The sequence below is a fragment of the Homo sapiens genome, chromosome Y, assembly GCF_000001405.40.
Source record: "Homo sapiens chromosome Y, GRCh38.p14 Primary Assembly".
Classification (NCBI taxonomy): domain Eukaryota; kingdom Metazoa; phylum Chordata; class Mammalia; order Primates; family Hominidae; genus Homo; species Homo sapiens.
The window spans coordinates 23410585-23424153 of record NC_000024.10 but is presented as its reverse complement, the minus strand read 5'-3'; the positions used below and the strand labels follow the sequence as shown (position 1 = coordinate 23424153).

Here is a 13569-nt window from a genome sequence, read left to right as displayed (position 1 = left end):
AACAACCACAAATTGTTCTCTTTGAGCACAAAGGGCATGTAAGAGCTAACAGATGAGTGTCCCAGGCATGGTTCTGCGTAGTTTGTATGATACTGTATATGATGTTACTAACTAGGCTGGTCAGTTTGGGTGGTGATAACAGTGTGTTACTGGAGTTAAAGTTACAGAGTCAATCTCTATATGCTTAGTTAGCACCATATTAAAACAAAACAAAATTTTTTCCATGCCACAGACTATTAGTGACCTAGCTATCTTACGGATACATGCTGTTGGTCATAATACAGACTGAGAGTGTCCAAAACCCATCATTACAACTGGAATTAAAATAACTGGAATCAAAGATCAAAGCTGGTCCACACAGAAGGATGAGCACGAAGTCAAAGGTCCAGTCCTTAAAACCTATACCACCTAGGTATAATCAGATGTCTTTTTCTAGTGCTGTTTGTAGGAAGTATTCAGACTTTATTTTGGTTTTTCTTAGCCTCAGTTCTTAGCCTCTTTTTGTTGTTACTAAACAAGTTGGAGGCGAAACAATCTAGTGTAGATTCTGGTTTCCTTCTTTTTATTTTCTGAAACAGTTTATGTAAGACAAGTATTATTATACTTGTTCCTTGACAGTTTGATAGAATTCATCCCCCAAATTACTCTAGGCCTGGTGTTTTTGGCAGGAGGTTGGGGAGGTGGTGGTTAAGTATGATTAAATTTCTTTAAAGGTTATGGGACTTCTTTGTTTTGCCATTTCTTCCTAAGTCATTGTGATATTTTATATTTTCCCAGAAGTGTCCACTTAAACTAAGTTTTCAAGCTTATTGTCATAAAGTTGCTCAAAATAATCTTATATTTTAAATATGTTTATCTTAATTTTGTCCCTATTTCTCTTCCTAATACTATTTGTTTACACCTATAGTTTTTCTCTAGATCAGCTTTTCAAAGGTTTACTGCATTTTACCCTCCCTGATGGGGCTCAGTGTGCGCAGCTGGAAAAAGTAGATGCCCTGGTTATGCATGCAGCTCATTTGTTGTACATGTTGCTTTAAGGGACCTTGAAGACTCTTCCCTCTCCCTATTGTTGCCAAAATAACTGCCTCTGATCTGTTTTTGTTTGCATCCCAGGCCCCAGACTAGCATGTAAGATGCCTTTGAGAAGTCCTAGAACACTGCAGTCAAGGTGGACGTTGGAAAATAAAAAGGCTTATTGAATTTTCTATCTTTTCAAAGAATCAGCTCCTGGTATTAACACTATTTCTACTGCTATTCTGTTTTCTGTTCATTAATTTCTGCTTTTATCTTTATTTTATTTCATTCCTTCTACTTACTTTGGGCTTACTCTGTTTTCAACTTCTTGAGTTGAAAGATTAACTCATTTATTTTCACTTTTTCTAATTTTTTAACCTTAAACATGTATTTAAGGTTATAGTTTTCTCTCTTTAGCTACTTTACAAGATCTAATGTGGAGTAATTTCATTGTCGTTCAGCTCTAAATATTTTGTAATTCTCATTATAATTACCTCCTTACCCATGCAGTATCTACAAGGAAGTTTATCAGAAGTATTCTTTTCTTCTTCAGCTAACTTTTTGTTGCCATTACAAAAAAACTATAACCCCTCCATAATCTCAATTCTGTATCTCCACATCCTATTTTTCCAGCTTATTCTTTCTACTAGGGTGATCCTGAACTACTGTGCATTGTTCAACCTCATGGAATCTCCACTGACTCTCATGCTCTTGATGTCCCTTCACTCTCCTCTTTATCGAGATTACATTCCATGATTTATCATTATTATCATCACTCTCCCCTCTCTCCCTTTATAGTGCTTGGCAAAACTACAACCTTGTTTAAATCCAATTTTCTGCCTACTCCACACCTGCACCTGTGCAACTAAATGTGGCTGGAAAAAAACATACAACCATGCTCATTGGTCTCAATTTAAATTCATTACTTTGAACCTTTAGTGGACTCTAATGCACACAAAGATACTTCCCTAGTCCATTTACTTTCCTAGATAAATACTTTACCCCTTTCCCTTTTAACTCAAACACCCAACACTTCCTTCCTCGTGTTCTTTCTTGGCTGCTGGTCTTGCTTTCTACTTCACTAAGAAAATTGAAGCAATCAGAAAAGAACTTCCACAAACTATTACCACATTTAACCACCCTTTACCATCTTCTCACTTGTTACCATTGATGAACCTAACGTGCTTCTATTTGAAGTCAAATCCTTCAACTTGTACTCTAGACCCTACTCAAGGACCTCATTACAGCAGTTCTCCATTCTTCCTCCCACATCATCTTTTTGTTGTTGTTGTTCTCCATTGGTATCATTCTCACAAGCAAACATGTAGCTTAAAAAACACCCTTTTCTGGCTGGGTGTGGTAGCTCATGCCTGTGATGCCAGCACTCTTGGAGGCCGAGGCGGATCACCTGAGGCCAGGAGTTTGAGACCAGCCTGGTCAACATGGCGGAAGCCTGTCTCTACTAAAACTACAAAATATTAGCCAGGTATGGTGGCGGGCACCTGTAATCCCAGCTACTCGGGAGGCTGAGGCAGGAGAATCACTTGAACCTGGGAGGCGGAGGCTGCAGTAAGCCAAGATTGCACCACTGCACCACTCCAGCCTGGGCAACAGAGCAAGACTCCATCTCAAAACAAAAAACATCCTTTTCTTGACTCTCCCCAAAAGCTGCCACTCCATTTCCTTGCTAACCCCCATTCCTGAAAAACTTATCTCTAAAAAAAAAAAAAAAAATAGCTTTTCTCAATGTTTTCAACTCCTCTCTTCTCAATGTGGCTTAAAATTACTTCAGTCAGGCTTTCTGTCCCACTATTCTAACAAAACCACTCTTATCAAGGTCTTAATGTTATCAAAATCAATGGTCAGTTCTTAGTCTTCATCTTATATGACCCTAACAGCAACATTTAACACTGTTGACAACTACCTCTTTCTTGATACATTTTTTTTTTTTCACTCACACTGGAAAGGACACAAGATACTTCTTGGGCCCTCTTCCCTTTTCTGTATTTTCTTTCTGTTATCTGATACAGTCTTATAGCTCTAAATATCATCTAAATACTCTACAGCATTTTGGCAGATCTGTTTAACCAAACTGCCAAAATTTCCAGTTGGAAATCTAACAGTTATCTCAAACCAACATATCTAAAACTGGATTCTGGCCACGTGTGGTGGCTCACACCTGTAATCCCAGCACTTTGGGAAGCCAAGGTGGGCAGATCACTTGAGGTCAGGAGAGTTCTAGACCAGCCTGGGTAACACGGTGAAACCCCAACTCTACTAAAAATACAAAAATTAGCTGGGTGTGGTGGCAGACACCTGTAATCCCAGTTACTCAGGAGGCAGAGGCAGGAGAATCACTTTGAACCCAGGAGGCAGAGGTTGCAGTGAGCCAAGATCGAGTCACTGCACTCCAACCTGGGTGAGAGAGCGAGACCCTGTCCAAAAAATAAAAAAAAAAAAATTGGATTCCTAAGAAGTCATTATATGAAAAAAATACTTCCACGTGCATGTTTACAGCAGCACAATCTGCAATTGCAAAAATTTGGAACAAGCCCAAATGCCCATCAGTCAATGAGTGGATAAAGAAATTGTGGTATATATATATACACCATGGAATACTACTCAGCCATAAAAAGGAATGAAATAATGGCATTTGCAGTGACTTGGATGGAATTGGAGACCATTATTCTAAGTGAAGTAACTCAGGAACTGAAAACCAAACATTGTATGTTCTCACTCATAAGAAGGAGCTAAGCTATCAGGATGAAAAGGTGTAAGAATGACACAGTGGACTTTGGGGACTCAGGGGAAAGTATGAGAGGGTGGTAAGGGATAAAAGACTACACATTGGGTACAGTGTACACTGCTTGGATGATGGGAGCACCAAAATCTCAGAAATCACAGTAAAGAACTTATTCATATAACCAGATTACCTGTTCCCCCAAAATCTATGGAAAAAAAAATTAAATAAATAAATAAATAAGATTGGCTTCCTAGTTTTCTTCCCCAACCTGCTTCATTTGTAGCCTCCCCCATGTCAGTTGATGGAAACTCTATCCTATCAGTTGCTTAGGTCAAAAACCTTGGAATCATCTACAATTCCTCCCTCTTTCTGTCACACCCCACAAGCCCTTCCAGGAAATGTTGGCTCTACCTTCAAATATATCCAGAATCTTACCAACTTTCAACAACTCTATTGCTACCATGTGATCCAAGCCCCTATCATCATTTCTTGCCTGGATTACTGAAATAGCTGCTCAGCTGCTACCTTTGTCTGAAGTCTAATCTCAACACAGCAGCTTGAATGATTCTTTTAAAACTTAAGTCAGATCGGATGGGCATGGTAGCTCACATCTGTAACCCCAGCACTTTGGGAGGCCGAGGCAGGCAGATCACAAGGTCAGGAGTTTGAGACCAGCCTGACAAACATGGTGAAACCCCGTCTCTACTAAAAATACAAAAATTAGCTGGGCGTGGTGGCCTGCACCTGTAATCCTAGCTACTCAGGAGGCTGAGGCAGGAGAATCGCTTGAACCTGGGAGGTGGAGCTTGCAGTGAGCTGAGATGGTGCCAATGCACTCCATCCTGGGCAACAGAGCAAGACTCCATCTCAAAAAAAAAAAAAAAAAAAACTTAAGTCAGATCACATCACTCCTCTACTCAAAATCCTGCAATGGCACCTCATTTTGTGCATAGTAAATGACAAAGGCCTATGACGCTCTACATTCAGATGATCTGATTCTCTTTCCTGCTACTCTCACCTGTCATTTATTTCATGTGTCAGTACTTTCCCACCATATGGCCTTTGCTCTAGCTGTAACCTCTTGCTAGAGGACCTCACTACACTACATCTGAAGAAATGTTCTTCCTTCAGATATCTTTGTGGCTAACTTCTTCTGCTTCTTTAAATCTCAACCTGTCAATAAGATATACTCAGACCCACTGTTTGTATTACAACCTGTACTTTCTCCATCCAATCCTCTTTATTCAATTCTCCTTTTTAGTTTTTTTTCCAAACTGCATCAGTGTCTAACATATTATATACTTTATTATGTTTGTTGTTTATTGTCTGCCTTTTCGTCTTACTCCCTGCTAGAATGTACACTTCAACAGGTCAGGATTATTGTCTATACTGTTGACTAAAGGATTCCAAGAGCCTCGAACAATATCTGGCAAATATTGGACAAATACGTATTTGTTGAATGAATAAGTGAATGTTGATTTTTCATTTAGCATGGTCACAATACACATGCCCTATGTGTGCTATATATCTGTTAGATTAAGCTGGTTAATTATGTTGTTCAAATCCTTTATGTTCTTGAGTATTTTTGACTGTTTGATATACTGGTTTCTAAGAGAGGTGTGTTAAAATCTGCAACACTGACTGTGGATAGGCTATTTCTTGATAATTCTGTCGGTTTTGTTTTATATATTTTGAGAGTATATTTTCAGTATCTAGAGTCATTTTATATCATCTTCGTGGATTGTTACCTATTTATAAGCGAGACATATATTTCTGTCATTTGATGTTTTTAGGCAAAAACATGTTCATGTTTCAAATGATGTTCATGCTGCCACCTTTCACTAGGTGGTAATCAAGAGAAAATTTTTCCTGTCCTATACTTGTATTTTTTTATCTTTCAGTGTTACTTTTAAAACAGCATATGGAAGGATAATCTATCTCTCTGGCTTTGTAGATTAATTTATATTATGATTACTTACATGTTTTATTTTGTATTTCCTATTTCCATGTTTTTCCTTTGCTTCTTTTTATCTTCTTTCCTGCCCTCTATTGAATGGAGTGATAGCATTTAAAATATTACCTATCTTTTCTCTTTCCCCTACTGATTAAGGACTTGTACCTTCTATTTCTATATTTCTATTACTGTACTGGATACCCTTATATTTAACATACTTATTTAAATATATATTTTTTAAAAGTCTATAACATTAATCTGTATCTTTTCTACTCAAAACAAGGACTTCAGCACACATTTACATCTTTAATACCATATTATTATTGCTAAGATTTAGTTCTAGCTTTTGAAGCATATTAGCTTTATCTCATATTTTAACACTCTTTGCTTTTGTATTCCACTTCTTTCTGCATTTATTTTTGTCTTTGCTGAAGAACATCCTTTAGTTCTCTTGTCACCAAGAGTTTGTGAGTTGAAAACTTAGCTTTGTGTATCTGAAGATGCGTTTATTTTGCTCCCACTCTGTATATAAACCACTGTATGAAACTGTAAGCTCACAGTTATTTGTCTACAGCACTTTGAAGATACTAGTCAGTTTTCTGGTATCTACTGTTGCCAAAGCCTACTGCCAGTTTGACTACCATTCCATTATTCAGAATTTTTTGTTATACTTGTATTCAGAATTTCAGATTTTCTCTTTATCATTAATTTCCTATGATTTTATTATCATGTATGTAGTTGTGGATTTATCTATCCTGTGTTACATGTGGCAGCATTTTCTATTTTGAAGACTCAGCTTCATTTCTGAAAAAATTCTTAGCTGCAGTTATTGTTATTATTATTGCCACTTTTTTATTCATTCTTTTTTCTCCTTTGTAACTCCTAGCAGATGTATGTTGGAGCTCCTCAGGTCATCTTTCATGTCCATCTTTCTCTTTCATTTTCTTCTAACTCTCTCTAAACTGCATTCTGAAAGATTTTCTCAGTTCTTTTTCCTAATTCTCTAATTTTCTCTTAAGCTATAGAAAGTATGTGCAGTCTAACTGTTCTTTTACTTCAATATTGTATTTTTACATTTCAATATAATATTTTTCACTTCAAGATGTCTAAATGCTTCTTTCTCACAGCTTTCTCTTCTTGTTTCATTATCTATTCTTCATTCTGTAAAATGTAATTTCTTCTGAACATATATTGATAATTTTAACTTATTTTTAAACTCTCATCAGATTGTTCTTCTTTTCTCAGGTATAAATTCTCTAATTTGTTGGGTTCTCTTGACTGCTTTTTCATGATCTTAGGTTTTACTGGGTTCTTTGTAATGTTTTGGGGGCTCAATTTTTATGATAACTAAAAAATGTAAGTACCTGTATCTACAGGGCAGTTTTAAGTTGCCTCAGCTTAAATCTGATAATGTGCCAACCTTGAACCAGACCTTAAGTTGGTAGCTCTGGGCCTTCTTTCCTCCTAGGTAGCCCAGTTCTGAATTTTTAGCCCAAAAGTATTTTGGGTCCAAGTTCTATCTTGAGTGGTTTCCTGCGCTTGCTTGTGACTGCCAATTATTCTTTACTTCCGCTCAGGAACAAGCAGCATATTCCTGGCTGTGACACTGCTGGGATAAGTTAGATTAACCCAGCTCCTATTTGTATTGTGCTCTTGGGTCCTGGGTTCATGCACAGACAGGATCATTGCAAAAAAACCTGGTCCCAATTGCCCATATCCATTCATAGCACCCCCCGATCCCCTACCATCACAGTGGCTTTTCTATTACTGGCCAAAAGACACTTTCCTTTCTTATTTTTAAGAATAACTATGTATTTTTAAAAAACTTTAAAAATATTTATGCATAATTTCTCTGTTTTTGAATGAGAGGAATAAGATTCAGGAGTATTCACTCTGCCACCCTGACCTAGAAGTCCCAGAGTAGCTTTCACTTTTGAAATAACAGCAGTTCAATTTTCCTGACCTCACCAGTCTGTAAACATTAGCATATATACCCAAAGTGCAAACTTGAATAAGCTGTAGTAGAGACAAATTTCCATTATTTGGAATTTGTTTACATTGAAATAAATAATAGATGTACTAGGAAATCAGAAATGGAAGGAAGATGACTTTTAAAAGGTTAAGAAACTTGGGACAGCAGCAGACTTTACTGTAAAGCTTATGTACAAACTCCATCACTGCTTCCCATAAATGGAATCAGACTGAGCAAAGAAGAGGGTACTTTCCACAGCACCAGGAAGAGCCACTGCAGCCAGCAGAGTCCTGTAATAAGTACCAACCTGCACTCCTGCACCTGGAAGACAGCCATCAGCTTAGTGGAAAGAATGCTGGACTGGGAATTCAGAAATGTTCTAGTTCATTTTCTACCACTTAGTCATTGTACAGCTTAGGCTAAGCCAGGCTCTCTTTTGGGCCCCAGGTTTTCCATCTGTAAAATAAGAGAGTTGGGCTAGAACAACTTCTGATGTACCTTCCAGAAATAATTTTCTATGACCTTAACAGTTTGGTACTTTATAAGTAGGTTGAGTCCTCCATTCTTCAGCTTGCTCAGTAATAATCTGCCAGGTAAAAGAAGAAAATCATGTGTTTCTGAAATCAGTTTTCAAATCAAATGAAAGAATCACTAGATGCATATTTTTGTTTGATCACCACTCTACAAAGGAACAGCCTGGTAGCTGGGTGAAGTTTCTGTGTGGGTGTACACACAATCTAAATTTTAAATAGAAAAAGCAAACCAACCCAGACCAAAACAAAAACCCTCCATACAAGTCCCAGACACAACAAATGGTAAGAGTTCTTTTCTACAAACATGTCTGTTTCTAAGAGCTGAGAAGACCAAAAAAGAAAAAAATGTATCAAAATGACCAGATATAAGTGTAGATAAAGAAAAAACTAAGGAGCATGCAGCAAAGTTACAGGATATGAGAGATTTGACTCTGCACACTGCAAAGTCTGTACAATTAGAAATTTCATGCTAACAGAAATGTAGGGAAGACAATGAGAAAAGAAAGGATAAAATTGGAGTTCCACTAGATGGAAGTTAAGAGTGGATTAAGAATTTTTAAATTGAGGCCAGGCACAGTGGTTCACGCCTGTAATCCCAGCACTTTGGGAGGCAGAGGCGGGCGGATCACTTGAGGCCAGGAGCTTGAGATCAGCCTGGCCAACAGAGCAAAACCCCATCTTTACTAAAAATACAGAAAAAAAAATTTAGCTGGGTGTAGTGGTGAACACCTATACTCCCAGCTACTCAGGAGGTGGAGGCATGAGAATCGCTTGAACTCTAGAGGCGGAGACTGAAGTGAGCCAAGATCATAGAACTGCACTCCAGCCTGGGTGACAGAGTGAGACCCTGTCTCAAAAGAAAAAGAAAAAAAAATTTAAAATTGGGTTGAAGTGGCAAGGAAAACTCAAGATTAAATCTCAGAGCTTTCTAGAGCCTTGACTATCAACCACAATAAAAATTTATATGAATTGTTTAATTTCACCACAATGCAGTAAAAAACCAAACTGATTCAGATTTTATAGGTCTGAAGGATGGAAAGTTGGCACACAACTAGCCATAATCCCGAGTCTTCAAATAACATACTAAAGACATACTGTTTTCAAAAAAAACAACAAAAAGCATCTTATCATCTACATTGCTATTTGTGAGGCACAGTGTATTGCATCGACACTGCTATGTATGTATAGACAGACTATATTAAGGGTGAGTGTCCAGCAGATTTCTATCCACTATTGCATACTTCCACCACAGCTGAAATAGCCAATCAGTCAAAAGAGAGGGATAAAGTTCTCTGACAAAATTCCCACTCAGTTCACGAAATAGCCACTGAGCAGTCTTCACTTTCATGCAAACTTTTTGTAAGTGTGTTACTAAAGCATCAAGGGGGGAAAAATTACACAAATAACAAGGCCTCATTAAAGAGAATTTGGGAAATAAAGAAAAGCAGAAAAAAAGTCACGCTTAGTCTCATCACAGAAATACAGCCACTGCTAACACTTTGCTCACTTTCTCCCTGGTCTCTTTACCTGGGCCTGCTACATCCTTATGGTTGTAATCATATGATATATACAATTGTGTATCTAGTTCATTTAGTAATACTATACTGTAAGCATTTATCCAAGTTATTATACTATCTTTGTAACTCACTTTTAAATGGCTGCCTTATAATCCACTCTATTTTAAGGAAACACCCCTAAATGTTGGTGGGGAATGGTAAAGCAAACTATGATTCACAGTGTTCCATTAGACGGATAAATCATAGTTTACTTAACTGCTGCGAGAATACTGCACAGTAGGCTGTTTCCAATATTTCCGCTATTATAAATAGCTAAACCAGCTAAATCTGTTTTGTTCAATAGTGCCTAATAGCCTTCCATATAGTAGGTACTCAAGTATTTGTAGAATGAATATTTACAGGGCTGCCTATATAGAACATACCTTTTGATAACAATTTTTGTGCATAAAATCCCCCTCCTTCCCATATTTAGAACTGTTTCCCAGAGATACATTTTCATAGGGTGCTATTCTGGGTCAATTTTGGACTTTTGTCAATCTAGCCATTTGCTCCTCAGAAAATAATGACTAATTTGCATTCCCAACAGTAAAATATGGGAAGGCCCGTTTCACCACATTCTTAGCTAAATTGGGCATTATCTTTTCAAAGTCTTTGCCTATCATGATTGCTAAAAAAATATTACTTTGGACGGGTGCGGTTGCTCACGCCTGTAATCCCAGCACTTTGGGAGGCTGAGGCAGGCAGATCATCTGAGGTCAGGAGTTCAGGACCAGCCTGGCCAACATGATGAAACCGCGTCTCTACTGAAAATACCAAAATTAGAGGGGCATGGTGGTGGTCACCTGTAATCCCAGCTACTTGGGAGGCCGAGGCAGGAGAACTGCTCAAAACTGGGAGGCAGAGGTTGCAGTGAGCCGAGATCACGCCACGACACTCCAGCCTGGGTGGCAGAGCAAGACTCTGTCTCAAAAAAAAAAAAAAGATACCTCATTATAATTTTAATTATAGTTTTGAACACCAGTAAGGTTACACACTTTTTCTTATGAATGTTATTTGTCTATTTTGAAATAGCTTTCTAATAATCACAATCTAAATCTACTTTATTCCTGAAAGGTCAGTTGTGGGTTGCAGTAACAACAAAAGCCCCAATATTTTTAGGAAATAAATTCTGGAAGGAACTTAAGGAACTAACGTAAATACATTGCTGAGAACAGTTTATTCACAGAGCAAGTCTGGAACACTGTAATGTGCTTTTACTAATGGTAAAGTTGGAGGCTAGAGTTCTCAGTTCCTCATTCTTTCTTCATATTTATCTGTTATATAGTTTTGTTTTTTTTGTGATATTTGTCTGTGGGTGCTGCTGTAATTTGCGAGGGGAGAGCTGGGAGGAAAAGATTCCTTTAATACTTCTTCTAAAACTTTTCTTTTAGGAAATCATTCTAGATTAACCCAGAAACTCTTAAGAGCTGTTTTCCACAACTGTACTCTGTAAAAACTTCTTTAGCCCAGATAATCTTGGGGTGACTTAGCAGAACTTTGTTAACCCTGAATTAGACTTTCTCTCTGAAAATATTTTGTAAACAAGTAAGCTAGACACAGAAAAGGCAGAAGCATATTCAGAGAAAAAATGTAGGTCTGGGCAACATTACCAGTAATGAGAACCTGATGAAAACTGACAATCACACCTCACTAACTAATCCAATAACTAGCTCTTTTCATAACTGTCAGCATAACATGTGGAAAATGCTCCTCTGCAGCAGAAGTATAATTGCCTTTCATTCCTTCGAGATGCTCTTGCAGGAGTAGGCAAGAATGTTGATCTGCCATCTATTCTTAACAAGGAGAGAAAGCAGAAATGTGGACTAAGGATTGTTAGGGGAAAGCAATTTAGATGGAATCAGGTACTACAATGTGCCAAATGATATGATGATTAGATCTGTTTGAACCCTGTTTAAGCCTTTATGAGGATTTTTTTTTAATGGCAAACTATCTTGGAGCTCTGCCCACAAGGCAAATGGCTACTAACCAAAGACTATTTATTTGCAGAAAATCCATCAAAGTCGTTACATGCAGATGAGTCACAAAGAGAAGATATCATCCTTTCATGATCCCCAGCCCCACTTCACCAAACTGCTCTCACAAGTCAGCAACATCTCCTTACTGGCAAACCTATGATGGCTCTCAAACTACTGGATGTGATTACAGAGGACTATTGGTAGCTATAATTTATCTTTCCAACCCTTTATCTCTTTCTCTTCTTTTGATAACAGAATCCGTATTTCCTGTGGGGAATCTATTCCACTTAGCTGACCCTCTCCTAACCCTACCCCTATAACAAGTGGTAGCTGCTGCTCTTGTTTCTTCTTCATCACTATGACCAGCACTACCACTATTGTTATCATTATGATCATCATGGCGGCTAAGATTTATTGATAATTTACTATGTGCCAGACACTGTTCTGTCCACTTTATATGTATTATCTCATTTAAAGAAATGACCTATGTGATAAGTACTATGATTTCTCTCATTTTAAAGTTGAGGAAACTGAGACACAGGGAGTATATAATTTGGCAAGGTTACACAGTAAGTAGCAGAGGAGGGACTTGAATTAAACTTGGTTTCAGGGTTCAGGCTTCACTGCCTCTCTCGCTAAATCTCATCTAATTTCTGGCTATAGAAATTGGTTCAGGGAAGTTCATCTGATGCAGGAAAGGTCAATCGGATATACCAACACTACGAGGCCAGGTGTCGTGGTGCACACCTGTAATCCCAACATTTTGGAAGGCCAAGGTGGGAGGACAACATAAGCCCAGGAGTTTGAGACCAGCCTAGGCAACACAGTGAGACTCCATCTCTACAAAAAATAAAAAGAATTAGCTGAGCATGGTGGCACACATCTATCGTCTCAGCTACTTGGGAGGCTGATCACTTGAGCCTAGGAGGTAGAGGCTGCAGTGACCCGTGATCACACTATGGACTCCAGCCTGAGTAACAGAGCAAGATCCTGTCTGCAAAAACCAAAACCAAAACCAAAACCAAAAAAAAAAGGTATATGGACACTAGGATAGAGAAGGTCTTTCTTCCTCTGAAGCCTATGCAAAGAAGGCAGCAGGGATCTGATAAGTTTCAGCTTCCTAGATTTAGCTATGCCTGAAGCTAGGCCAGGCTAAATATGCAGATTTTCTAGCTACATAAGCCTATATGCTTGAGCTATAAGAAGTTAAGTTTCTGTCACACTGAGTCTTTGAAAGTTTTCATTCCCTTGTTTGGTTGAATACTACTCTTTTTTTAAAAAACAAACACTTTTATTTTAGGTTCTGGAGTACATGTGAAGGTTTGTTATATAGGTAAACTTGTGTCACAGGGGTTTGTTGCATAGATTAATCACCCATGTATTATGCCTAGTACCCAATAGTGATCTTTTCTGCTCCTCTCCCTCCTCCTACCCTCCACCCTGAAGTAGACCCCAGTGTCTGTTGTTTCCTTCTTTGTGTTCATAAGTTCTCATCACTTAGCTTCCATTTATAAGTGACAACATGTGGTATTTGGTTTTCTGTTCCTGCATTAGTTTGCTAAGGATAATGGCTTCCAGATCCATCCTTGTTCCCACAAAAGACATGATCTCACTCTTTTTTATGGCTGCATAGTATTCTAAGGTGTATATGTACCATATTTTCTTTATCCAGTCTGTCACTGATGGGCATTTAGGTTGACTCTATGTCTTTGCTATTGTGAATAGTGCTACAATGAACATTCACATGCATGTGTCTTTAGGGTAGAATGATTTATATTCCTTTGAGTATATACCCAGCACATAGACCAATGGAATAGAATA

General features: G+C 38.0%; 1 non-coding gene across 1 annotated transcript; it reads left to right on the top strand.

The window, feature by feature from the left end:
• The first annotated feature begins 917 nt into the window (after window positions 1-917).
• LOC124900506 (small nucleolar RNA SNORA70) lies at window positions 918-1055 on the top strand. The gene has a single exon (XR_007068484.1). It is a non-coding gene; the product is annotated as a small nucleolar RNA SNORA70 (small nucleolar RNA).
• The last annotated feature ends 12514 nt before the right edge of the window (window positions 1056-13569 follow it).